Source organism: Homo sapiens, chromosome 18 (genome assembly GCF_000001405.40).
Source record: "Homo sapiens chromosome 18, GRCh38.p14 Primary Assembly".
Taxonomy (NCBI): domain Eukaryota; kingdom Metazoa; phylum Chordata; class Mammalia; order Primates; family Hominidae; genus Homo; species Homo sapiens.
In genome coordinates this window covers 21235127-21262873 of record NC_000018.10, presented here as the reverse complement: position 1 = coordinate 21262873, position 27747 = coordinate 21235127, and the positions used below count along the sequence as shown (strand labels likewise).

At 39.8% G+C, this 27747-nt stretch overlaps 1 protein-coding gene and 1 long non-coding RNA gene across 27 annotated transcripts in view; one reads left to right on the top strand and one right to left on the bottom strand.

Moving 5' to 3' along the window:
* GREB1L (GREB1 like retinoic acid receptor coactivator) overlaps positions 1-20642 on the bottom strand; it is a 283881-nt gene extending 263239 nt beyond the window's left edge. For all 24 annotated transcript variants that reach the window (XM_006722547.4, XM_011526179.4, NM_001410867.1 and 21 more), the window contains exon 1: positions 20481-20642. The gene's annotated coding sequence lies outside the window, so the exon portion shown is untranslated. The remainder of the gene's footprint in view (positions 1-20480) is intronic.
* GREB1L-DT (GREB1L divergent transcript) lies at positions 20146-22199 on the top strand. 3 transcript variants are annotated; one of them, NR_183513.1, is made up of 3 exons: positions 20146-20264; positions 21539-21597; positions 21867-22199. It is a non-coding gene; the product is annotated as a GREB1L divergent transcript (long non-coding RNA). The 3 variants fall into 3 exon arrangements; NR_183512.1 differs by lacking the exon at positions 20146-20264 and adding an exon at positions 20644-20722; NR_183515.1 differs by lacking the exon at positions 20146-20264 and having other exon boundaries at positions 21280-21597.
* Positions 22200-27747: the final 5548 nt, after the last annotated feature.

The window sequence follows — 27747 nt, the reverse complement described above, 5'->3', positions numbered from 1 at the left end:
GACGAAATGATTAAAAATATTCATACTAACTTGTTCTCATCTACTGTTTTTCTCAAACCATGACACAAACTAGAAATGAACCCAGAGAAAACTGCTTTATCATGGCCATTTCCATGGGTTGATATCACTGGCCCACCGCCTTGCTAAGAACTTCTAGGTTTTGTAACCTAGAAACACTTTGTACAATTACAATGACAAACTACTAATACAAGTAATTAGAATAATGATTAATACTAACTTCCAAATCATGTTAAGAAACATAAAATTTTTGTTACAAAATATCTGTCTTAAACTAACTGGGCTTTGATCCAAATGAGGTAGAACATTGCTTTCTGTGTGAAATAACAGAAACAACTGTTTGGGAAAGCAGAAGTGTAACGGAGCAAAAGTATCTCTAAGCACGTAATCTTATAAAAAATTTTATAAAGTATTCACATACTCCATCTGGGATGGGAAAAGCCCAACCACATAAGTAACCCCATAAGGTCTGTCATTCAAAACAGAGAAAGAATTCTAGTTTTTAAAGTTCACTTTCTCCAAGCCTCAGAAGTTAAGAGGAATGGCAAGGAAGTTGGAGAAGGAGCAAAAAAAAAGATCTGTGTTTGAAAGGAGAGGTAGTTACTACCCCTAAGAATGATGCCAATAACTCCTGTTCTCAAGGAAATCACCCCTACATATTATTCTGGAATCACGGAGTAAACAGGAGAAAAATGCTAGTGGATTTTCATAAAAACCAGTGTGTCTGACCGTGTGTCATAGAATCTGTAAATTAGTATACTGCTATAAATACACAATTTGCATCCTTACTGGTTACTATAAAACTCAATTTTAAATTCTAACCAATAACTATTAATTTAAAGCAAATCATACAGAATTATGTCATACTTAAATCATGGAAACATGTATATTAAAGAATGGCATAAGTAAAAATCTAAGACCTCAAAATGTTCAAAACACTTTTACTTTTCCTAGCTTTATAAAATAAAGGTATTTAGAAAATAAAAAATTAAAATAAAATAAAGGTATTTAGAATAAACAAAAGTCTTTTCTTTGATGGCAACCCTTGACTCTATAGGGGTTGCTTGAGAAATATTTACATTTATGTGGCTTAAGTAAATTTTGTCAACCAACAAATAGCAATTCCTTTAGTAAATTTTATAATCCTTTTTATAATTACTTTGGAAATGTCAATGCAGGAGTAAATTTTATTGGCATGCTACAGTGTCGCTTTTCCAAAATTTACATATAGAAAGGTTAGGGTAGATCAAGGAGGTTTTCTGCCTACTTGTTTGTTTTTTTAACACAAGATAATCACAGGCTGGTAATGAAATGACTAAAGACAAAAATGACTTGAAAATATGCAATCAACAGCAACTCACACAAATGGCCTATTTTATTGTAGGGAAGTTGAAAAGGCTGCTAAAAGCAACAGAAGGTAACCTTGCTTAAGAGAACATTCATGGTAGCTGACACAATCCCAACAACAACTATGAAATAAAGCAAAATTACAGAGCTTCAAATCTTGACCTGTTTTAAAGAGAATAGCGGTAAGCAGAAGCTTCCTTAAAAACTTGTCCTCAAGAATTGCTCCTGGAAGTTTATTTATAATTACAGTATCAGACTAAGTGTAAGACTAAATTTTAATCAGTGGTGAAGAATATATTCAAGCCAGCAACTGTGTGTTGGAAAAATATATATATAGTCTAAATATTTACATAGTATATAGATATGTGTGTGTCATACATAGGTCAATGTGTTTCTGCTAATGTTAGCAAGCTTTTTCACAGCTCAGATTTAATTATTAGAAATGTATTTCCACAGCCTGATTTCTCTATAAAACACTACTGTTTTCCTTTACATAGAACTAAAAAATAATACTCAGTATCATACTAGAAACTTTAAAACGAGGTAATTGAGTATTGGCTGTTTAATAGGTTTTCTTTCTTTAGTATAAAACCGATTTTAGTATTCATGAAAAAAAGAAAATGACTATTCAAATTAAAATTCTCTACCTTCTGAGCTCAACTTTAGAGTCTCTAAGATAAATTTACATTTAAATGAAACACACACAATGGCAGCTGGACTATCATAACCACCCCACACACATTAATGTTTTCAGAGATTTAAATCTCTAATTCTTAGGAGAAAGAAAATTGTGACTATACAACTATTTTTAATCAGTCATACAACTATTTTTAATTAGATTTATATGTTAATGCTTTAAATATAAGAGTTAAGGGAAAAGTATTTCTAAACACCTAAGACAAAACAGAATTACTACTAACAAAAGTCAACTCGGAACAAATGGTCCTTTGCATGTTAAGTCTCTGGAAAACCAGCTACTGTGAGGAGCTAAAATTTAGCAGGCTAACTTAAGATTTTTAGTGGATCCTAATATAAAGGACTAACAGTTTAAAGCTAAAATATTATTGTACAAGGAATAAGTTCTAATTAATCTTTCAGTCTCTTTCCTTTTTTTCCCTCCTTAATATGTATCTTCTTTTCTCTGATGGTCCACAAATCAGGTAGAAAATTTAATTTCATTCAATTAAAAGGAAATGTATTTAAAAATAACATACTTATGGTAAATATTTTGTCTATTGTTTTTTAATACTGCTCATGATGAGAAATATATCAAGGACCAAATTAGAGTACACACAGCTTTCAGTGATATAAAATTGCTGAAAATCCAAATTTCTAAAAAGTGAATTTATAAGAAAATGCTTTAAGATCTATGTTTCAAATATTTATTTCTCAATATAATCTACATCAGTAGAATAGTTATGTACTAATTAATCGTGTACAATGTGCTTTAAACATAGTCTGAAGGTCCAAATGAGCTTTCATTCATTTTCTTTCTAAATGATAATTTCTCATGCCTTAAATTTCTATATAAAGAACATCTCAAAAGCGGTATACTAACTAAAGTTAGTTTCTGCTCAATAAGACAAAAAAAAAGGATATGAGTTGAACAGTGGTCAAATTCATACCCCCACCATGAAAAAAAAGGAATGCCACAGTTTTAGTATTATTTATAGGTACCTTAATATCCATGAAGTGTCACTAACAACTTAAGGATCATACCATGATTTTCTTAACATCACCAATACCATTTCAAATTTTATAATACGTTCGATGCCTCATGAACAAGTTAAAAACATCTTCTAGTTTTTAAAAAATTAAATGGGCATAAAATTCCATTTGATATAAGTTCAATTGAATTCTTTTGTAATTTAGGTATTGGGAAACAGGACAAAAAACACCTTTACATATTATGTTATATAAATATTTTCCTATATTAGTAATGGTTTGAGGAACATGGTTTGAATAAAATGAGATCTGAATCTAGAAAACCACAAGTCACATTACTGTGTTTTAACTAGACTGTCAGTTTCCCCAAGGGCAGGGACAGCTCTTCATTTTCCTCTCTCTCTCCACAGCATCCCTTCCAATTATAGGTGCTTAAAAAAGACTTATTAGCTTACTTATTGTTAATTTCCTGCCCATTGGTGTATTCTATTATCCCCACTGAATAAACACCTCTTGCACAGTAGAAAAATTATGAGAAAATTATTTTTAAAGAAGTGACAAATGTATTTCATGAAATCATTCCTTTTACCCAAATGAAAACTGAGAGACAGTTTGATAATTATTGCTGCCAATTATTACTTCAAATCCTTTTTAAAAATCAGTACAGGTTAAACAAACCTTAATCTAGGATAGAATTATGGTGTCTGTTTGCAATATGTGAACTTTAGCTTTCCAAGGGTAAACACCATACAGATGTCTGGTAATCTCCCATGCAACAGTATCTAAAATAAGCCCACACTGTTTTGATTTTGGACGTCTTGTCCATTTAAAATCTAATAAGCAATATGAATTGTAACATCTATACTGTACAGGAAATGTCACATTTTTCAAAACACTTTTTTCCAGACTATCAATTCCATGGCTCTATTCCACTATGCAGTATTATCCTGGAAATACACGGCTTAGACTATTTTTTATTAACTAGGATATTTGTTGGCAAATTTAAAGCCCATATTACTTAAATTATATAGGTACATTTGTAAGTAAGTAAATTTGATGATCAATTGAACACGCACGAAGGATTATAAACACATCATCATTTTGTGTAATTCAAAAACAAAAGGGAAATGAAATGTATCTCCCTTCACCTCTGCCACAGAATTGTTTTGAATTTATTTTTCCTCATTACCATCCTTTATTTAAAAGATAATGCTACTGAACTAGCTTCCAAAGGGCATGGGTCTTGTGTTGGTATTTCCAGTCAACGTAATAAGCTTATGTTGTTCCATTACCCTCCCTTGCCCCAACTCCTGTGTAGTCAGTGGCTTAGATCAGAAGGAAGTTTGGCCTAGGTTAAGGATGTAATACATAGCCATGGAAGAAAGCTAACAGTTCCTACAGACCTGCTACTATTATTTGTCATTAACAAATATTTATTGAGGGGGCAACTATGTGCTTGGTCTTAGGTGCTGGGGATAGAACAGTGAGCAAAAGGGACAAAGCACTTGCAGTCTGGTGAATAAACAAGATCTGACTCCCACTGGCACCATTCCTTGCCAACCAAAATTGAGCCTTGTACAGCCTGTTACCCAAAAATATGGCACTAAATGGTCCCCTAGTGGTATGTGCAAAGGCTAAAATGTCCCTCGGCAGCTACCTATAGCACCTTCAGCAAGAACAGCAACATTTGCCACAAGTTACCTTTCTGGGTAATATAACACATTGTAAGATGCAATTCCTGACATCCCAATCTTATAATCTAGTTGAATCACAAAACAGGTACCCAAGAGTATGACACAGAGGCAGGAACAAAAGTTTTAAATCAGCCAGACTGAGATTTGAATTCTGACTTTACACTTAGTACCTGAAGGCTCTTGTGAAATTTACCTAAGCCTTATCTGAGTCTTAGTTATCTCAGCTGTAAAGGTGAGAATAATGATGCCTACTTTACAGGGCTGTTGTGAGGATTAGAAATGATATGTGCACAATGTGTGAGGTGGGGTACATTTTTAATAATATTGTTGAATTAAATTATTAATTTCTGCTATTAATTAAATCAATAAACAGCAGAAGACTAAGCAGAGAAGACCTTTATGGCAGTTTTTTAAATCAAAAGCTGTGTTTTGTGCATACACACATACTCTGACATACATATGCTCCCTTTGAAATTCCAGATATGCAACTATGCCATGTGTTACACTGTTCCATCACAGTTCCTACTCTGGAGGCAGAAGTTGAGATAATGCATACCACTGGCTCAGAGGTCTTTATGATGGCATAAAACCTCAAATATTTAGAATACCTGAAATACCATAACCAGACACACATTTACAGACTCTAAAAGATCTTCAGTAGATTATGCAAATGGTCCATTTAATACCTACTGATATGAAACAATTCTGATACAATTTTTGACCAACAATACTGTAAAAAATACCACAGTTAGTATTTTATTGCTCCATTAAAATGAACAAGGGGGGGAAAGGTTATTTTTACATGTTCTAATTTTTCCAGAAAAGAACCTAGTAACATTTTTAATTCAGAGGCAAACGCTTAAAACTAAGCGTTTTAATTGCGGCTGGGCACAGTGGCTCATGCCTGTAATCCCAGCACTTTGGGAAGCCGAGGCGGGCGGATCACCAGGTCAGTTGAGATCGAGACCATCCTGGCTAACACGGTGAAATCTCGTCTCTACTAAAAATACAAAAAATTAGCCGGGCATAGTAGCAACTAATTGCTACTCTCTAATAAGTCTGAGACTTGTCATTCAAATTCAACAAGTCTAATGAGGAAAAATAACTAACATTTCCTGAGAGTCTTTTTTTTTTTTTTTTTTTTTGAGACGGAGTCTCACTCTGTCACCCAGGCTGGAGTGCAGTGGCATGATCTCGGCTCACTGCAACCGCCACCTCCCGGGTTCAAACAATCCTCCTGCCTCAGCCTCTTGAGTAGCTAGGATTATAGGCGTGTACCAACAAACCCAGCTAATTTTTATATTTTTGTAGAGATGGGGTTTCACCATGTTAGCCAGGCTAGTCTCGATCTCCTGACCTCAAGTGATCTGCCTGCCTCGGCCTCCCAAAGTGCTGGGATTACAGGCGTGACTGGGAGTCTATTTTGTACCAGCCATCATGCTTGGCAGCATTGATTCATTATCTCAGAAATGTGACCTGTTTTGGAATCAAATTATGTGGCAACTGTCTCAGAGTAAAAAATATCAAGAGTCTCAGGAAGGTAGTTATTTGTTCAATAGAGATTTTATTCTTAATAGATTAGATTGATTTTTGTACCAAAAGGTAATGAGCCTACCAGAGAATGTAGTTGTTTTCACATCACCCTGGGGAATGATACAGTCTGTGAAATTATGCACAAAGAGAAATATTCCTCACCTTAGAACTAAGTGAGTTGCTGCTAGTCATGACTACCCTATTACTATTCCACCTTGATCATTCACTGTGCTCCAACTTGTGAAAATGTACACCTAACTATTCTCTAATGTTGCCAAGATCTTAACCTCCTGCTCCAGCGATTTTCAGGCCATTATTAAATCATCAAAGTAGAGCAGCCAGAACAGCTACCTGAATTCTCTAGTTAATCTGGAGAAGAACCCTGGTTCAAGAGGGGAGTTCATTTGCAACAGAAAGTTGCTTTGTCAACTATGGCTTCAGAAGTTTGACTAGTTTATGTTCCACAAAGAGAATCAAAAGATCAGGGCACTTTAAAATAGCCATTTTTTAAAATGATGCTAATTTATTATGGGGAACATCCTCATATACTACTTGTTAGAAATATAACCAAGATTTTCAGGTTTATTTCCAACAAATAAAATTAAGAAAAAAAATTACAGAAATACTCTATCATCCATATTCAATATTGCAGACAGTATTATGATTTTCAAAGAACTGCCAAGTGAATATACTATAGATTGACAATTCTGTAGAATGTAATTAAGCAGTCAATACTTCATATTTACTATGCACCCTATTTTATATTCGATGTTTTGGAAAATACAAGTGATAATATGCCATAGTACCTCCTCTTAAAAAGCTTATACTCTAATATTCAGGAAGAATACTTTCTGAGACAATTAGAGAATATTAATATTGTAAAGAAATTCTAAAACTTTATATATAAACTATGAATGCTATAGAAGTCTAGAGAAGGAGAAAATTAATGAAAACTCCAGTGGTCAGTATATTTCCATAAAAGAAACAAAACTAGATCTCAAAGCAGTGTTCTTCATCTTTATTGGGCATGAAAGTGGCTCAGGGCCTATTCCTAGGGCTCAGAATCTGCATTTAAACAGCATCTCAAACAGCTGATTCTCATCTAGGTGGTCCATAGTTTGACAAACACTGTGTAAATAATAGGTATGCTTTGTAAGAATTTCTAGAGCAGTGCTTTCCGTCAGAACTTCCTGTGATTATGGAAATGTTCCGTTCCTTCATTATCCAATACAGTAGCCGCTTAGTCACAGGGCTACTGAAGTGGGACTTGTGTGCCTAAGGAATTAAATTTTAAATTTTAATTAAAACAGCCACATTAGCTCTAATAAACAGGGAGAACTTTCTAAGAAAGTGAAATAATGTATATCAAGGTACAGGTAGGAATGCACATGAGCAGGATAGATAGGCAGGAAAGACAACTGATTGGCTTGTCTAGAATAGAGGTTTTATATTAAATTATCATGGGGTCAGATTATGAAGAGCCTTGAAGGGAACTAAGTAAATTCAATTTTATAGCACACACTGCTGGTTGCCTAATCAAGCCATTTCCTGATCTTTTTCAATATTAACCCCACAGTTTGTACATGCTTACCTCAAAAAATAGACCCTTTCCCAGGCTCTGGAGTAAATCTTGAATATTCTACATCAGTTATGGTAATCCCATTTTCCTTGTCAGTGACTGGCTGACGCATGACCATACAGTGAAGTCTCACTAAGATTTGGGACATCAATGTGTGTAGGTAAATTCTTTTAAAAGCATTTAGCCTGAACATAAAGAGCCTTTTTCTGACTCCAGTCAAAGCTGTGTGAGGGTATGAGTCGTGTGTGCTGCAAATATCTTGGGATAGTGAAAAGACAAGCTGGAAGACAAACACCAACAAGCTGAGGATGGCGGAGAATGACCAAAAGAATCTTGGTTCTTGAGGACATTGTCAAGCACCCAAATTAACCCAAGAATTGCAGTGCCCTTCCTGCCACCCTGAGAAATGTTGGTGATATAACCAACTCATTACTGTTTAATACCTTTAGTTTTTTGTGCTTTTTTTACATGCAGCTGACAGTGTAAGACTGGGGTGTTAATGTTTAAGCGTTTCCCACCCTTTGGGAAACGCTAAGGGAGGCAACTGGTACCTATAAAAGACATTTGATCATTTGTAGAATGATACAAAACAATGTTCAAGGATTAAAAATGATACGCGTGAAAAACAGAAAGTAGAGTCATGCAGACCAGCTTAAAAAGCCCAAAAGCGGCTGGGCATGGTGGCTCATGTGTGTAATCCAGCATTTTGGGAGGCCCAGGTGGGCTGATCACCTGAGGAAAGGAGTTCGAGACCAGCCTGGCCAACATGGTGAAACCCTGTCTGTACTAAAAATACAAAAATTAGCTGGGTGTGATGAAGTGTGCCTGTAATCCCAGCTATTCGGGAGGCTGAGACAGGAGAATCGCTTGAACCCGGGAGGTGGAAGCTGCAATGAGTCAAGATCGTACCACTGCACTCCAGCCTGGGAGACAGAGCGAGACTCTCTAGCAAAAAAAAAAAAAAAAAAAAAAAAAATATGCCTGAAAGCCTGGACAGCAAAGTGACACCCTATCTCCACAGAAAGTTTTTGAAATTAACCAGGCATAGTGGTACACACCTGTAGTCCCAGCTACTCTGAAGGCTGAGGCAGGAGGATCCTTTGAGCCCAGGAGTTCGAGGCTGCAGTGAGCTATGATTGTGCCACTGCACTCCAGCCTAGGTGACACAGAAAGATCCTAACTCTAAGGGGAAAAAAAAAAAAAAAAAAAGCCTGGAAGTCAAAGTTACCAAAAGATTTGGGAAATATTAGGGAAATCATATTAGCAGTATGTAAAATCATTAATGCATAGAGATAAATACTTGAAGCAGAACTGCAATAACAGTTCACTTTGTAAGGACGGTAGAATTACAAGTAATGTTTCTTTTTCTGATTTGTTAATATCATTCTCACATGCTACTATTTCTATTTAAAATCTAAACACATTACATTTAATTTCTCTAAATGTGGTATATTCGGTTTTTGAAAATGAGAAAAAATCCTTGAAATAAGTGAGCACGGTGGCTCACACCTATAATTCCAGCACTCTGGGAGGCCAAGGCGGGTGGATCACCTGAGGTCAGGAGTTCGAGGCCAGCCTGGCCAACACGGTGAAACCTCAACTCTACTAAAAATACAAAAATTAGCCAGGCATGGTGGCACATGCCTGTAATCCCAGCTACTAAGGAGGCTGGGATTAGAATCACTTGAACCCGGTAGGTGGAGGTTGCGGTGAACCGAGATCGTGCCATTGCATTCCAGCCTGGGCGACAGAGCAAGACTCCATCTCAAAAAAAAAAAAAAAAAAAAATTCTTGAAATATGTTTTCTCTATATTAGCTGCAATTACAAGTATAAGAAGGCACTGTGAAACAATATGGTAAACCAGAAAACATGCAGGACTAGTTTAGTGATCTTGGGCAAGTCAAGTAAACCCTGCAGTGTTTTCCTCTCAGGGTAGATTGATCTATGGCTCTAAAATCCAACAAAGCTCTGTCTTAAAACAGAAGGAAACCCTTTTGAATACAAATGGGCAACTGATATCAAAATTAAATTTTCTAAGCTCTGTTCTCATAATTTGGCTTATGAGCTAAGACTGAAATAAAATAAAAGTCAATCTCCCTCAAATTATCTGAGCAAACAGGAAACCCTGGGAAATTATGTTTTATAGCTTTAATAAAACTTTCTTTTTTGGGGGGTGGGGAGGGACAGTCTCACTCTGTCACCCAGGCTGGAGTGCAGTGGTGCTCACTGCAACCTCCGCCTCCCGGGTTCAAGCGATTCTCATGCCTCAGCCTCCTGAGTAGCTGGGATTACAGGCACCCGCCATGACGCCCAGCTAATTTTTGTATTTTTAGTAGAGACAGGGTTTTGCCATGTTGGCCAGGCTGGTTTTGAACTCCTGATCTCAGGTGATCCACCCACCTCGGCCTCCCAAAGTGCTAGGATTACAAGCTTGAGCCACTGTGCCCGGCCACTTTTAACTTTTTTTTTTTTTTTTTTTCAGATGGAGTTTCACTCTTGTTGCCCAGGCTGGAGTGCAATGGTGCGATCTCGGCTCACCGCAACCTCCGCCTCCCTGGTTCAAGCGATTTTGTTGCCTCAGCCTCCCGAGTAGCTGGGATTACAGGCATGCGCCACCATACCAGGCTAGTTTTGTATTTTTAGTGGAGACGGGGTTTCTCCATGTTGGTTAGGCTGGTCTCGAACTCCCGACCTCAGGTGATCCATCCACCTCAGCCTCCCAAAGTGCTGGGATTACAGGCATAAGCCACTGCACCCGGACTAATATAACTTTCAAAACAAATGTTTCTGCACAGATTTTTCAAAGAACAAATAAACTACTTCTGGAAATTTTAATGTTGATTAAAGTTCTATAGTAATATCAAGTAGGTATCAAGTGATAGTTTACTATTATTTGTAACTTGCATTTCTAAACAACTAATAAGGCTAAGCATTTTTCATACTTATTGACCATTTGGAATAGTGGTTCTGTGAATAGCTAGTGACAATGTTTGCAAAATACTTTAAAATTATGTTTCATAAAATATTTTATTACCATTTTATAAGAGTTCCTTATAAACTAGAGATGGTAATCCTTTTTTTTTTTTTTTTTTGAGATGGAGTCTCACTCTGCCTCCCAGGCTAGAGTGCACTGGCACAATCCCAGCTCACTGCAACCTCTGCCTCCTCGGTTCAAGCGATTCTCCTGCCTCAGCCTCCTGAGTAGCTGGGATTACAGGCATGCGCCACCATGCCCAGCTAATCTTTGTATTTTTAGTACAGACTGGGTTTCACCATGTTGGTCAGGCTAGTCTTGTACTCCTGACCTTGTGATCTGCCCACCTTGGCCTTCCAAAGTGCTGAGATTGCAGGTGTGAGCCACCGTGCCCAGCCGAGATGATAATCTTTTATTTGCATATGGTACAGATTTTTTTCCCCAATCTATCATATGTCTATGGCATTTATTTATGGTTCTTGCTTTACAAAAATGTTTTTAAATTGTGTTATCATATGTCTATCTTTTAATATATACCTCTTGTTTCTTGTTTGGCTTAAATAAATGCCCTTCAATGAAGTAATGGTTGTTTAACTGTGGAATACAGATGCTATAGATTATTTTTATAGGATATTGTATAATAATTTAAAAGAATAAAGACAAGCTATACCAGTTAACTTAGAGTTATGTTCCTTGTGTTTTATTGAATATTAGGTGAAAATTAGAAAGATATGATAGCACATATACAGTACTAAAATATATATAAGGGTACATGATCATGGAAAAAGTTGTAACAACATAAATAGATGAGTGACATTGTTGGAGTGAAAAGAAAGGGGAAAGGGAAAAGACAGCCCTCAAATTTTTAAAAAAGAAGTAACTACAGTTTTCGTTTGTTTGTTTGTTTTTAGAGATAGAGCCTCATTACATTGCCCAGGCTAGTCTCGAACTCCTGGCTTCAAGTGCTCTTCCTCCCACTTTGGCCTCCCAAAGCACTAGGATTACAGACATGAGCCACTGTGCCTGGCCTACAAGTTTTTTAAAAAGCATAATATGATCCTATTCATGTAAGATTATTAATATTGATTATATATAAATATGCATGGAGATGCATAAAAGAATGGCTACCAAAATGTTGATGATGTTTGACTTAGCGTGGTTAGATTTCAAGGAGAGAAAAGGAAGAAGAAAGGAAACAAGAGGAAAAGAAAGAAAACATGAGAAAAAAACCAAAGAGATATAAATGTGCCCTTTCCAAAAAATAGAACAGACTGTATGGGTGAGAGGCAGAACTCTCAAGTGAAAAGGTTCCCCCACCCTCTGATGTGGATACAAGTTATGGTAACAGACTCAGAGTTCCCTGAATACCCCAAACAGATATACATGTTAACTTATATTAGTGTCCATTTAAATTGGTTTAAAAATACAGAGAGATATTATACCAATTACATCTTCTCTTCACACTAACCTATACAGGCAGAGGTGACAACTTCAAGTGCATCTGCTCTAAAAATAACTAAAATTACAGAATGATACATTTGAGTAGTAGTTCTAAGACTTATGTCCATAAAAACCACCTGGGAAGACACTTAAAATGCACATTCATCCTCAGACTATGGCAGAACATTTTTTTTAAATGCACATTCATGGGTCCCACCCTAGAAATTCTTATTAGTGGGTCTAGTGATCAATAATCCGTATTTAACAAGCACCCCAGGCAAATGTGGCAGGAGGAATTGACAGATCACGCTAAAGAACAGTGAATTTCAGGATGTTTGATCTCTTTACAAACTGATTAACCAAAGAATCTGAGAGTGTGGTGCACTAGAGAGAACAAAGAATTTGAAGTAAAAAGATCTAGATTACCTCTCTGACCTAATCCCCCACTCGCTCCCTCGCTTACCTCTCCCCATCTGCTCCCAGGCCTCCTAGTTGCCCCTCTAACAACAAGCTGAAACCCTCTTCCCCTAACCTTTCCAGTGGCTCAGTCCCTCACCTCTTTGTGTCTTCACTCAAGTCACTTCTCAATGACACCCGTAGAAAATTGCAACCTCCAGCTTACTTTCTAATTCCCCTTTCTGCTCTACTTTTCTCTCTGGCACTTCTCACTACCTAAAAAACATCATATTTTCCTCAATTTCTTTTGTTCATTGTTTGATTCTCCTGAGAACAGAGATATTTGTCACTTTTTTTTTTTTTTTTAAAGACAGAGTTTTGCTCTTGTTGCCAGGCTGGAGTGCAATGGCGCAATCTCAGCTCACCGCAACTTCCGCCTCCGGAGTTCAAATGATTCTCCTGCCTCAGCCTCCCAAGTAGCTGGGATTACAGGCATACACCACGATGCCTGGCTAATTTTGTATTTTTTTTTTTAGTAGAGACAGGGTTTCACCATGTTGGCCAGGCTGGTCTCAAACTCCTGACCTCAGGTGATCCACCGACCTTGGTCTCCCAAAGTGCTGAGATTACAGGCATGAGCCACCACACCCGGCCAGATATCTCTCACTTTTCTTCCCTGCAGCATCCCCAGCACTTAACAACAGTACCTGGACAGAGGTCAGATTTAACTTGGCCAAGATAAAACAACTGAAGCTTGAGCAATTCAGTGATAGAAGGCAGATACCACTAGTAAGCAGACAGTTTGTTAATAAAGATTCCTGGGTCCTGCCAGAGATTCTGATTCAGTAAGCTCGGGATGGGGCCTGAGATTTTGAATATCTAACAAGAATCCAGCTGATACGGATGTTATTTAGAGAGTTCTCAAGTGCCTCTGCTCATGTTTTAGTGAAAGTCAACCCATCCTACTATAAGAGCTGTAGGCTAAAAAGGGAAAGCTCTGTCATACTCATGTGCGTTTGTGACAAGAGAAAAAGTGATCCCCAAACCCCTTGTAACTAAGTTATCTACCTAAATAAAAAAAAAAAGATTCTACAATAGAAATAGTTTCACGACATATGTAACACTATTTTCATAGATATTTACTACAACTTGATTTTTAATAACATGGTGTTTAGGTGGTTTCTAATGTTTTTACTTTTATAAATAATGTTTCAAGTGATATTTTTGCTATATGCCTTTGTGCATTTGTCTAATTGTTTTTTTCTAACAAATTCCAAAAAGGGAAATTTCCAAATCAAAGAGTTTAGACCAGCACTGTCCAACAGAACTTTCTCCAGTGATGGAAATGTTCTATATCTACACAGTCCAACATGGCAGCCACCAGCCATGAGCAGCTATTGAGTGCTTGAAATGTAACCAGTATAACTGAGAGACTGAATCTTTGGTTGTATATAATGTTAACTAATTTACATTTAAATAGCCACATGTGGCTAGAGGCTACCATATTGGACAAGGCAGGTATAGACATTTAAAGTCTTGAAACATAATGCCAAATTACTCCCCAGAAAAGTTGTAATCATTTGCCATCAGTCTTAGTATAAGAACAACCATTTATTTATCCAATTGCCAACATTAGATTTTATCAATCTATTGAATCTTTGTAATCTGAAAGTTAAAAAGTGTCTGTGTGATTTTAATATACATTTCTTTGATTATTAATAATGTTGAATGGGATTGTTTCTTCTGTCATCACACTCATTCAAATGCAAATATGTTCACCCATATTATTTAACTCAGGGGTTGGAAGTTATCTGGCTTCCAGATTATTAGGTCCATGTGTTTTCTTTAAAATGTATTGCCAACATTTAAATTCACATAAAAATGTGAATTTCTAGCTTCACCTGAAAAATCAAATGGCCTAGCAACAGTGGCCCACAACCCCAAAAGGCAACAATCAGTGGAGCCTTAGAAACTCTGCCACCCTCAGACTTTCTTGTCCACCAGAACTCATCACCTCTATTACTTTACAAGTGTCTTGCTTCACAACTCAGGTTTACTGCTTGGCCCCTCCACACATCTGAGTTTACAATTCCTACCTGAATTAAATTTAGAGAGATTAAAAGACAAATAGCAGCTAATAATAGCTAATTTTCATTCCATGGTTAGCATGCAAAAATGATTTATGATATTTCTGGATTATTTTATAACTAATATTTAACTATTAGGAGAATACTTTTTTAGTGGGCGCTGAGGTTTCTTACTCCCTAGAACAGTGCTTCAGTATCAGAAGGGTTGTTAAAATGCAGATTGGTAGGCCTTATCCCCAGAATTTCTGATTCAACAGGTCAGAGTGGACCCCAAGAATCTGCATGTAACCTCAAGCTCTAAGTGCAACTCTACATCAAGATGAGGTTTTCTCAAAGATATGGACACTCCTAGAAGGGTAGTGACATTATGTAATTTTGACAACATAATACGAATTTGTAGATCCTTTTTTCTAAAATATGTCTACATTTATTATTTCATTTTATCTTCAAAATAAACCTATCCAGAAGGTTGGTAATTAGAGCAGTAATTGTTAATCTCATTTTACAGAAGAAAAGTAAAGCACAGGAGTTAAGAAAGTCTCCTAAGCACACAAAAAGTTGGAAGAGCCGTAACAAGCAGGTCTCCTCCTAACTCCTAACCTTGGTAATATAGGCAAACACGGGAATACAGGACACAACTGGTGCTTGCTTCTGCAGACTGGCACCATAAAAACAGAACTATGACCAGGAACAGAGAAGACAATACAAGATATAGTTCACAGCAACAAACATTTATCAAGTGATTATGTGTTAATCTATGCTAACATGGCTACAGTCCCTACTGTAGGGACTGCTGAAGATACTCATAAAGCATAGGGAAAAATAAAAATAAAATCTGAAACCACAACCTTGAAAAGATAGTGAATTCTCTACATCATAGGCAGGTCAAAAACAACTGCACTGAAGGGTGGGGTGGTAGGGGCAAATACAGAGTTGGGTAGAAGAGAAGAGTCACTGTGGGACTCCACATCTGGACTTGAAGGAGTTGCTGTCACCAGTCAAGAATGGGAGGGAAGAAAGTGTACACAATAGGGAGCCCTCCTGGGGCTCAACAGCACAAAGAGCTGCTGTTATCCATGTTGGGTGTATATTTGCCAAAAATATCAGGGATGCTGGAACTCCAGAACTCACAAGGGCATGCTTTTTGTAGTCTAAATTACCTTGACTATATAAGAACTCAAGTCAGTGGGCATAACTTCATTATCCATTTGTAGCCAAAAGATAACATGATTGGAGATCATAAATTTTCTCTCTGATTTTTCCTCAAGTTTTGAGAAGCATTCCTAGTAAAATTCCAGCAAACTGTGATCACAATACTAACCACAAATCAGCTCTTCAAGGAAGATTGCATTTTCACTTAAATATCGTTTATATCTTAGTTAACAGCTACTTTTCTAAGAGTTAAATAATAATAATAGCTAATAAATATTACCATAGACTGAAAATACAAGAAAACTACAATTAGTTTGAAAAAAGTCTATTGGAAAATTTGGTTCACTATTCATTAGTGGTGTAACTGACCACCCCTATATGTCTAGCTTATGGTACAGCTCAAAATGACTGAGGTAATGAAATTTCCATCACTCAGTTTGGAAAACTATAGCAATATGGCGGAAAAAACTATCCCTCACTTTGTATAAGACTAAAGAAATGCAAAGCAAAAGAAAGGTATAAAATGTTACACTGATTAAATTAGTAACAATAATATGTTTTAAGATAACATAAGCACACACATAGATTGTTAATGACAGTATAAATTTATATAGTCCTTTTAGAAAGTAATGTGGAAATTACTGTAAATCTAGAAATTTCCTAATAAAAATAAGAGCTAACATTTATGTGTTTCATGTGTTATTGCTTTTTATCTTAACTTTAAAGAACTATTAATATAACCCATTTTACATCTTAGTAAGCTAAAGTTCTGAGAAAATAAATTACTTGTCCAATATTGCCAATGAGTACTAGAGCTAGGTTTAAACCCACAACCTCTAATTTTAGAACCCACCCATTTACAACTACATTATACTATCCCTCAAGAAAAAAAAGATCCTAAGGAAGTTAAGGGAAAAAGAAGAAAAGAAAAGAAATAAAGTTACATGTATAAGAATAGGCATTATAGGCCAGGCATGGTGGCTCACGCCTGTAATCCCAGCACTTTGGGAGGCTGAGGCGGGCAGATCACGAGGTCGAGATCGATGAGATCGAGACCATCCTGCAACACAGTGAAACCCCATCTCTACTAAAAATACAAAAAATTAGCCAGGCGTGGTGGCAGGCGCCTGTAGTCACAGCTGCTAGGGAGGCTGAGGCAGGAGAATGGCGTGAACCCGGAAGGCGGAGCTTGCAGTGAGTGGAGATCGCACCACTGCACTCCAGCCTGGGTGGCAAAGCAAGACTTCGTCTCAAACAAAACAAAACAAAACAAAACAAAACAAAACAAAAAAAGAATAGGCATTACATTTTTTATGCTGCAAAATCAAAAACAGGAAGGCTTAAGTTAATAATGAACATCCATTGCATAAACTTTTATAAAATTATTGTAAATAATGGGAAGTAAGCTATAGAAAAAATGTTTATAAAAAACAGGGTGAAAATTATCTGCAATATAAAACATTTGTAAAAATATTCATTCATATGGCAAGATTGGGAAGGGAGCTGGAAAAAATAAAAACCATTACCATTTTGAAGAATTTCACTACTGGTATTGAATTTTCTTTTGTTTCTGTCAGCTTCATTAATCAATCAATATTACTCTAAGTACCCTTACAAATATATTCTTCTAGTTCTTATTCTTAGGATCCCAAACAATTCCTACAGCGAATTTATAATTTATATTAGACTTATTCAAAATAATTACATATGTTTCATCAGCGGTGCTTTTAGAAAGCTTTAGCTTTCAGTATGAGATCTCTATCTTAACATCAACACTTTTTGCAATCATCGCTTACAGTGTACCTTTGAAATCCCTTAATTTAGACCATACGCAGTCACTAAAATCAGCTAATTTTTACTTTCACAACCTTACAATCACTCCTTAACTCCTGTCCCCATCATTAGCCCAAAGGCTGCAGGTACTTTACAAATTAGAAGTTTCCTAATAAGAACATACTCCCTAGGTGAATATTTATCAAGTAACTAAAATATCTTAGCTATAAGGGATGTTCATAATCTAAACACTTCAGAGAAGTATAAATTAAATTATGTCAAGTCTCTTTCAAGTAGGTAAAGTTAATTTCCACTTTACCAAAAAGAAGAGTTTGGTAAGAGTAATTTTCCTAAAAATGACACTGTGGGCTGCGAGGAGAATTCACTCTCCTTAGCCACACAAGGTGACATGAGAGGCCCTCAGCCCGGTGTTTGGCCTCTATCAGCAACATAAACACACATTCTGTGGGTAAGGAGAGTAGCTGTTCTCCAATGACATCAAACTCGTAAGAGCAGGGATATAGTTTAAACATCTCTAACCTCCTCTTCATGAATCCACCATTCAGGAATGTTTTTTGTCGCCCCACTGTCTAACATCCACAGTCCAATGGTTATCTTTAGCCAGTTTTAGGACAACTATTTTAATCGTAGAACTCTGGAGTTCGAAGGACCCTTAAAAATCACATAGTTCAATTCCTTTATCTAACTGAGTGGGAAACAAAGTTTTCCAAAAAAAAGTTACGTCGTGTGGCGGGTTTGTGGCAAATCCAGGCCTAGAATTAAGAGATGCAACCAAACATCTGAAACTCGGCCTTCGTATTTATCCTTTACCACTAACATCTTTATATTATGTCATGTCAATGGGAGTATACACACGCCCTTTCAGTGTTTTCAGATACACACTGCGGTAGACAAAGTAAACTACTACAGTTCTCATTCTCTACTTCATAAAGAATTCCAAAATGGAGGAAAAATTCAATAAAGATTGCAAAAACCAGTGTAGGGAAACTGGTGTGTGTGCAGGAGGAGATATTAGTTTAATAGTTTTGCTTTCCACTGCATACTGTTCTAAGATTTTTAGCCCTCTAACTGATCTTCAAGGTAATAATTGTCCACATTTGGCTAAATAATCTCATGTCATCATGAGTGGGTATCAAGTTAATGGTCATCACCACGAATATATAGTTCAGTCTTATATTCAATCCCTTTCATCATCTATAATGTAATTCCATTTTAATAGACTTACGGAAAGATATACAAAAAATATACAACAGTGGCTGCCTCTGAGAAGGATGAAGGCTTGTATGGAGGAGAGGAAAGAGGGCTTAATTTACACTGTATACTCTTCACTGTTGTTTGAAATGTTTACCCTACTTATATATTCATTCATTAAACATTTTCCTCTTGAAATACATACCTATATGCATGTAACTGTATTACTAAATATTTCAACAATTTAATTTTTTCTCTTTTAAATAATTTTTCAGTATCATTCACAAAACCTCCTAGAAAATTTCAGCAAAGAGAAGAAACAACACAGTCACAACACTCAAAGCAGAGTTCCAGGATTTAAAGTCTAAGAACATATATAGATGAATGAGAGGTTTTATTAAGGGGGACTGAGTTCAAAAACCTTTTGTGGGAAAGCTCTTCCCTGTATTTAAACGGCTAGGTTTAAAAATGTGATTTAAGCAGGGATTCCCGCCTCGAGGCGGGGGGAGGCGGAAAAAAACACCTTACGGTGTGAAAAGCAGAAATTAAAATGTGGTTTCTATCCTCTCAGCCGGGGCCAGAGGAGTGGGTGGGGAGGATAAGGACCTTGGAACCGTCACGTTCACCGGAGAAAGGGGCAAGACTGAGGAGTTTCTCCAGGACCCGCAGCCTCGGTTAGAGGCAGCGGCAGTTCCGGGCAAACGAGTCGCGTTCGGGGACGTTCCTTGGACTCATGTAACTGAGAAACCCCACGCACTGAATCTCCACATGGAGTTTCCTCTTAATGGAGCTGGGAAGAGGGACGGCGGGAATGGATTTCCTTTAACGAGTCTCCCTCACCCTCCCCGGCCAGGGCGCACCTCACTCGCTGTCTGCTTGTGTCAGGGTCAGCTGTCAACACAACTCTTTGTGTCTCATTCGGAATAAGAGTGGTCCTCAGCCATGCACAGAAAAATGGACATGCTGGCCGGAAGACACGCGCGCCCGCTCGTGACGAAGTGACATTTGGTGTTGAGGAAAAAAACCCACAGACGCCGAGCGAGCGCCCAGCCACCTCTGGACGTTCTCAACTTTCCCAGGCTGAACTCCATCCATCCTCTCCCCGCCACCTCCGCGGCGCCCTACCTGTCGCCCGCCCGCCTGCCCGGCACCCCCTCACTGCCCCTGGGCTCGGGGAGACGAACCAGGTGCCCCCTCGCCGCCTCCGCCGGGGGACCCCGCGCTACTCGGCGCGCCGCAGCTCCCTCGTCCCACCCCCGGGCCGTCTCGCTCCCGCCACAAAGGCAGCGAGTAGAGCCCGGTGACAGGCCTTCGGCCTCTGGGCGCGGACAGCACGGCCGGGTCCCTTCGGTGGGCGACGCGAGGCGGCAGGGAAGGCAGGCACGGCTCCCAGGTTGGCACTGGCGCTCCCTCGCCACCCGCACGCGCTCCGCTCACACCCCCGCTGAGCTTCCCATCCCTCCGGAAAAGTCCGCTGCGGCGCTTCCCCGCGCGGCCAGGGCGTCCAGCCCGCCAAAGGGCAGCTCCTGCCGGTCACAGGCGAGCTCCCGCGCCCGGTTCGCGACCTCTCACCTCCTGCCCGCGCCCCGGAGTCCCCGCGGCCGCTCACCTGGCCCTAGCGGGGCGCGAGGGCAGAGGACCAGGGGGTGGCCCTCGGCTCGGCCGGGCTGGTCTCCCCACCCCCAGTGCCGTTCCCTGCGCCGCGCTGCGCTCCGCTGCTCCGGCCGCCCGACTCCGAGGTGCTAGCGCCGCCGGCGGCTGGCGTCTCTCTGGCAGGCGCGCGGTCCGCGCGCTCAGTTCCCCGGGGCGGAGCGAGGCGGCGGCCGCCGCAGCCGGAGGCGGATTCCTCAGGTGCTGCCCCTCCCGCCCGCCCTGGCCTCCGCAGCGGGGACCCCCGCGCCCCCTCCCCCCGCCCCGCCTCGCGCCTTCCCGCTGCCTCGGCGTCCGCGAGTGGCTTTTGGGGGTCCCTCGCCCTCTGTGAGGGTGGTGGGCGCGCATTTCTCCCCTACCCCCCTCCAACGACGCCCCCCGCCCAGCCTGTGGAGCCCTCGATGCGCGGTCCTCACGCCTCCATTCCCAAACCCCGCCGCACAGACGAACGCGCAGCCCCGCGGGGGTGTACAGGGGGTCGTGCGGGGGGGGGGTCTTCTGTGAGGGAGGGCTGCACCCCAGTGTGCTGACGCGCGAAGCCAGGAGGAAAAATTATTTCCCCTGGAGCCCGCGTTCATTCAGCCTGCTCTCGCCTCTGCGCAATTGCTTTCTCTGTTCACTGGACGGCGGCTGAAGAGCCCCAAGCGTGAACTCGGCCTGGGCAGTGGTGGCTCGGAAACCCTTGGCCTTTTGCATGAAGGGGGTAGGGTGGGGGCAGGGCGCGGACAAAACCAAACAAACCCGGGAGCTCCGGGCCCAAGCCGACTTTTGCACCTCCCGGAGGAGCACGCCCTCCGGCCCCGGGCCCCGGCTCGTCGGTAGCCTCCCGGGACCACGGGGACGGCTCCACCCCAGGGCAGCCGCGTCCAGCTGGCCCTGGGCCTTGACGGGTGCTGCGGGGAAAAGGTTCTTGAGAGATGCTGCGGCCCGGTAGAGAGATTTAGCTCCACTTTTCACAGCTGGAGGCTTTTGTTATTAGAGATGCGGCTCCATTTTTAAAACTAATTGTTGCCACAGATAGGCGACTACATCTCTGGAAGCAGCAGCTCCATGCTGGATGTGGTGGAAGAATCGAGGTAAGGAAAGGCTGATGTATTTTGAGTGCCTTTAGTGCAGTACAGCCCGGGGGAGCTCCCCGTGTGCGTGGGAGTGGGGAGGCAGCCGCGGCGCCCAGGCCCGGGTGGGTTGGAATCATTGTCAAGTGATAGGTACCATTTAAAGACATTGTCAATTAAACTAGTTCTCATACGATGTCCCAGTACTTTTGTTTGCTTGTCTTGCATTTTTCTTTTTTGCCATATCCGAAATACATTTTTTTCTTTCCTGTCACTTTTGATCCATGCAGAGGGAATGGACTGGAAGTTTGGAATCACCGGAAAATAACAAGGCATAGCTAAGCTGTGACTAGCAAGATAAACGATTTGTTCGAGGTTTGATTGTCCTTTCCCTCCTCCACTCGGAAGACATAGTTGTCTTTTTTTAAATCATGTTTTGTACCGAAATATTTTTATTTTATAATTGAATCCCTGTTGTTGGGCCTTTAAAAACCCATAGAAACATTGTTATGTGCCACGAAGGTGGGAAACACGGCTTTCTCAGTCATTGCTGTACTCCCACAATTCTGGGTCATGCACACAATACAGGTTTAGTAAATAAAATCCGTATGTTTTTGGCCCCACGCGGTGGCTCATGTCTGTAGTCCCAGCGCTTTTAGCCTGGGTGACAGAGACCCTGACTCAAGAGTGTGTGTGTGTGTGTGTGTGTGTGTGTGTGTGCGCGCGCGCGCGCGGGCGGGCTTTAAAATAACTACAACAGAAAGGTGCAGATGATTAGCAATAGCTAAAAGAATCCAAAGTCACTTAGTAAACTCATCATGAGAACTGGCCATACACGTGGAAAAGACAGTGCTGTAGAAACTGAAATTTTAAGTTCACCTGGTGAATATAAACTAAGCTCATAGAAGTTAAAGCAGGTGAGAATCTTTTGAAAAACTCAACCCATCACAAGGTCTGTAGAGTGTGTGGGGGTTGGGCAGAAGCAAAACACCTTCCAATTTAAAGATAAGGACACTGAACAAGGAGCCGCTTTAAAGTAAAACCACCAGTGCAGTTTTCTCTCTTAGTGCAAGGACCATTTGTTGAGTGCCAGGTACACTAGACCCTAGAAATGTGAAAGCAAATCTGGCAGTCACTCAAGGACCATAGTCTAATATTACAGGACTCTGGTATTCATTCTTCATCCATTCAACAGATATTGAGCACCTAATGTGAGTTAGACGGCACAATATATCAGTAGTAGTGGTGATTTGTCAGTAAACAAGGCAAGTCCCTAACAAGGGTAAAAGTGAGAGTAATCTATATATCCTGGTAGATTGAAAAGAGTTCAATGCCATCTTCATTAGATAACAAACTCCCAGCCGGGTACAGTGTCTCACGCCTGTAATCCCAGCCCTTTGGAGGCCAAGGCAGGTGGAACACTTGAGGTCAGGAGTTCGAGACCAGCCTGACCAACATGGTGAAACCCCATCTCTACTAAAAATGCAAAATTAGCTAGGTGTTGGTGGCACACACCTGTATTCTCAGCTACTTGGGAGGCTGAGGCAGGAGAATCGCTTGAATCCTGGAGGCGGAGGTTGGAGTGAGCCAAATTGCGCCATTGCACCCCCAGCCTGGGCAACAAGAACAAAATTCCGACTCAAAAAAAAAAAAAAAGATTTCACACTCCTGTGTCCTGAATTTGTGTTTCTGCCTTGTCTTCCCTTTGGGATTTCTATGTCCCTCAGCATGCCCAGTAGACCTCCATAATTATAAAAGATGATAGGGTTCAGAGTGAACATTCTGAAAAAAGGTCCCATAGTTTTGAATCCTGACTCCAGCCTGGTGACAGAGTGAGACTATGTCTCAAAAAGAAAAAAAAAAAAAGAAGATGCATTAGTGCCTGAAACACTTTTTTTTTTTTTTTTTTTTTTTTTTTTTTTTTTGAGACAGAGTTTTGCTCTTGTTGCCCAGGCTGGAGTGTAGTGGCATGAACTCGGTTCACTGCAACCTCTGCCTCCCAGGTTCAAGCGATTCTCCTGCCTCAGCCTCCTGAGTAGCTGGGATTACAGGTGCCCGCCACCACGCCTGGCTAATTTTTTGTATTTTTAGTAGAGACGGGGTTTCGCCATGTTGGCAGGCTGGTTTCAAACTCCTGACCTCTGGTGATCTGCTCGCCTCAGCCTCCCAAAGTGCTGGGATTACAGGTATGAGCCACCATGCCCAGCCCGGAACACTATTAAATGTTGACTGTGATCATTGCCTGTGCATCCCTCCACTCTCTCCCATAACAGTGATTCCCAAGTGTTTCTACATAGATACGCTGCCTTAAAACCCTAAATTTAGTGAAAAATATGAGACTCACAACAGAGTTCATACATAAATGGCAGAATCCTTCTGGGTAGTTACTGTGACGATCCTTCACCTTGGCAGTGGAGGAAGTTCTATGATTACATCCTGGTTCTGCTCTCAAGGATGAACACCACTTTGCATTTATTTCTGTGGCCCTTGGCTCCACACTCTGGAATATTCTTCCTTGTTCATTATTCTCCATGACCATATCTGAAGTGCAACTAGGAAGTAAGCCCTCCAGAGACTTCACAGTTTTCACAGCGCATTTCCTGCTGGTATAAGTTTGGAGTCCTGAGGGCTCATTCATACTTAAGGATTTTGTTTTGTTTTTGGTTTTGTTTGTTTGTTTTTCCTTTTTGTGGACAACGAGGTCTTGCTATGTTGCCCAGGCAGGTCTCAAACTTCTGGGCTCAAGCCATCCTCCAGTCTCTGCCTCCCTAAGTGCTGGGATTATAGGCATAAGCCACGACTCCTGGCCTACATGTAAGGCATTTTAAAGGCCAGGTTTATAGCTGATTTGACCTTACGGTTTTCTTAGACACTTAGTAGACTATTCTCTTCCTATGAGTTCCATGGACCAGTAATCATACCCAAAGTTCTTTCCTGGGCAAAGCTGCAAATACTTTATTTCTTTGCTTCCTCACTGTGTTTCCCTTTCTCTCAATTTAAGATCTGAGGCTTAGTGGCTCAGCATACGCATGCATTATAAGAATTCACCTTCTGGCCGGGCGCGGTAGCTCACGCCTGTAATCCCAGCACTTTGGGAGGCCGAGGCGGGCCGATCACAACGTCAGGAGATTGAGACCATCCCGGCTAACATGGTGAAACCCCGTCTCTACTAAAAATATAAAAAATTAGCCAGGCGTGGTGGTGGGCGCCTGTAGTCCCAGCTGCTCAGGAGGCTGAGGCAGGAGAATGGCGTGAACTCGGGGGCAGAGCTTGCAGTGAGCCGAGATCATGCCACTGCAGTCCAGCCTGGGTGACAGAGTGAGACTCCGTCTCAAAAAAAAAAAAAAAAGAATTCACCTTCTACTAGAAAGGGTGCTACTACTTTCCCACTCAAAGCCAATTCACTGGAAAGGAAAACCAACCTACCACCATCTTCGTCAGAGGGGAAGATACACTGTGGGGAACCGAACAAAGGTCTCTCTAATTCCAGATCGGATGCCAGTTACCAATGCTGAATGATCTAGATCTTCACTTAGAAATATGAGCAGATAAAAAATATCACCAATCATAAGGAGAGAATCTACCATTTGAAAGAAGAGGACCAAATGAGAGCAAATATCACCCACTAAAATGGAGTTAATGCAGGAAATAAGACAAAACTTTTTTAAAAATCTTGTTCATGTTCTTAGTGAAATTTAAAGAGTAACAAGCAGGTTGTGAAAATGAAGCAATCTGAAAACCAGAATGATGTTGGAAATTAAACAGTAGATGACTATTTAAGTTGAAAAAACTAAGCAGTTAATAGAAAAAATGGATACTGCTGAAAACTGAATTAGTAAATTATAAGACCATCTCAATATTTCCAGAGTACAGAGCAAAAAGATGAAGAAATTGAAATTGTGAAAGAAAAAATAAAAGAGAAAAAATAAATTCAGGGGAGCTACTATTGATATGTTGGAAGCTTGAAAAATAAAATGGAGCACATGATATACACTATAACTGCAAAACATCATTAAAAGAAATGAAAGAAAACCTAAGTAAATGGAAAGACATCCTGTGTTACTGGATTTAAAGACCTAACATTGTTAAGATGGCAGTAATCTCCAGGTTGATCTACAGATGCAATATAATCTCTATCAAATTCCATTTGCCTGTCTTGTAGAAATTGATAAGCTGATCCTATAATTCATATGGAAATGCAAGGGATCAAAAATAGCCAAAATAAACTTAAGAAAAAAGAACCTAGTCAGAGGACTACACTTCCCAATTTCAAACCTCATGACAAAGCCATAGTAATCGAGACAATGTGGTGCTCATATAAGTACATACAGATCAACAGAATAGAATTAAAAGTTCAGAACTAAACCCATGCATCTGTGGTCAACTGGTTTTCAACAAGGATATCAAAATAATGCAATACATTGGGAAAGAATAGTCTTTTCAATAAATGGTGCTGGGACAGGTGGATATCCACATGAGAAAGAATGAATTTGACATCTACTTTACAGCAGATACAAAAATTAACTTAAAATAGATCACAGATCTAAATGTAAGAGCTGAAACTGTAAAACTATAGAGTTATTTGACACTGGATTAGGTTTCTTAATATGACACCAAAAGTACGAGCAACAAAGGAAAAAGCTAGATAAATTGATTCATAAAAATTGAAAACCTTTGTATATCGAAGGACAGAATCAAGAAAGTGAAAAGACAACCCATAATACGGGAGAAAATATTTGCAAATCATCTATCTGATAAATATCTATTATGGAGATATATAAATATCTATTATGTAGATATATAAAGAACATATATGTATATATATAAAGAATATTTGATGCTTCTTGCAATTAAATAAAACTCAATAAAGAGGTAAATAGAGAAAACAAAAAGTACTGGAGAGTAAAAGCCCCGTGGGATCTAAAAAATTATTGATAATGTTTTTATAAAATCTAATACAAATGCTATATAGCATAGAAAAAACAAAAATTGAAATATTAAAAATAATCTGTAATTAAAATCCCAGTTTATTTCAATAAATTTGGGTGGTATGGGCCCTTGGGGAGTGAATTTTAACCGTTAAAAGTCTCACTATGTTTGGAGAAGAGAATGGGAAATAAGAAAATATATACCACCAGGCACAGTGGTTCACGCCTGTAATCCCAGCATTTTGGGAGGCCAAAGCAGGAGGATCACTTGAGCCCAGGAGTTTGAGACCAGCCTGGGCAACATCGTGAGACCTTGTCTCTATAAAAAATAAACAAATTAGTCGGGTGTGGTGGCATGATCCTGTTGTCCCAGCTACTTGGGAGGCTGAGGTGGGAGAATCACTTAAGGCCAGGAAGTTAAGGCTACAATATCCATTATGGTGCCACTGCACTCCAGTCTGGGTGACAGAGATCCTGTCTTAAAAAGAGAAAAGATACATCCTTTTTTTCTTTATAAGCATATCAGTTATTTATAAACATATCAGGTTTTTTTTTTGTTTTGTTTTAAAGATACTGACCACAACTTCTTGTAGAACTTTCAAATAATTTGAGAAGAAAGAAATACAAAGAAACCAAAACCAATACCACTTCACCAACACCACAAAAGTCAGGAAGAAAAGGGAAAAACAAAGCATAAAAAAGAGAAAACACAATTTAAGGTGTATGAATACATTCTTAGCATCAATAACAACAAATTCAGTGGGCTAAATTTCCCTATTGAAAGACAAAAATCTCTCTGAAAAAACAGAAGAAAATACAGCTATATTCTCTTTATGAATAATATCTGAATTAAAACAACATAGATTGAAATTAAATGAATGGCCAACAAAGGTAAAACAAGTGAAGACAAAAAGAAGCAAAAGTAGCAATATAAAATCAAAGTGAAATTGATGATTTAAAAGAAAGCATGGGCCGGGCCTGGTGGCTCATGCCTGTATATCCAAGCACTTTGAGAGGCCAAGGCAGGCAGATCACAAGGTCAAGAGATCCAGACCATCCTGGCCAACATGGTGAAAGGCTGTCTTTACTAAAAATACAAAAATTAGCTGGGCGTGGTGGTGTGCACATGTAGTCCCAGCTACTCGGGAGGCTGAGGCAGGAGAATCACTTGAACCCAGGAGGCAGAGGTTGCAGTGAGCCAAGATTACGCCACTGCACTCCCGCCTGGCGACAGAGCAAGATT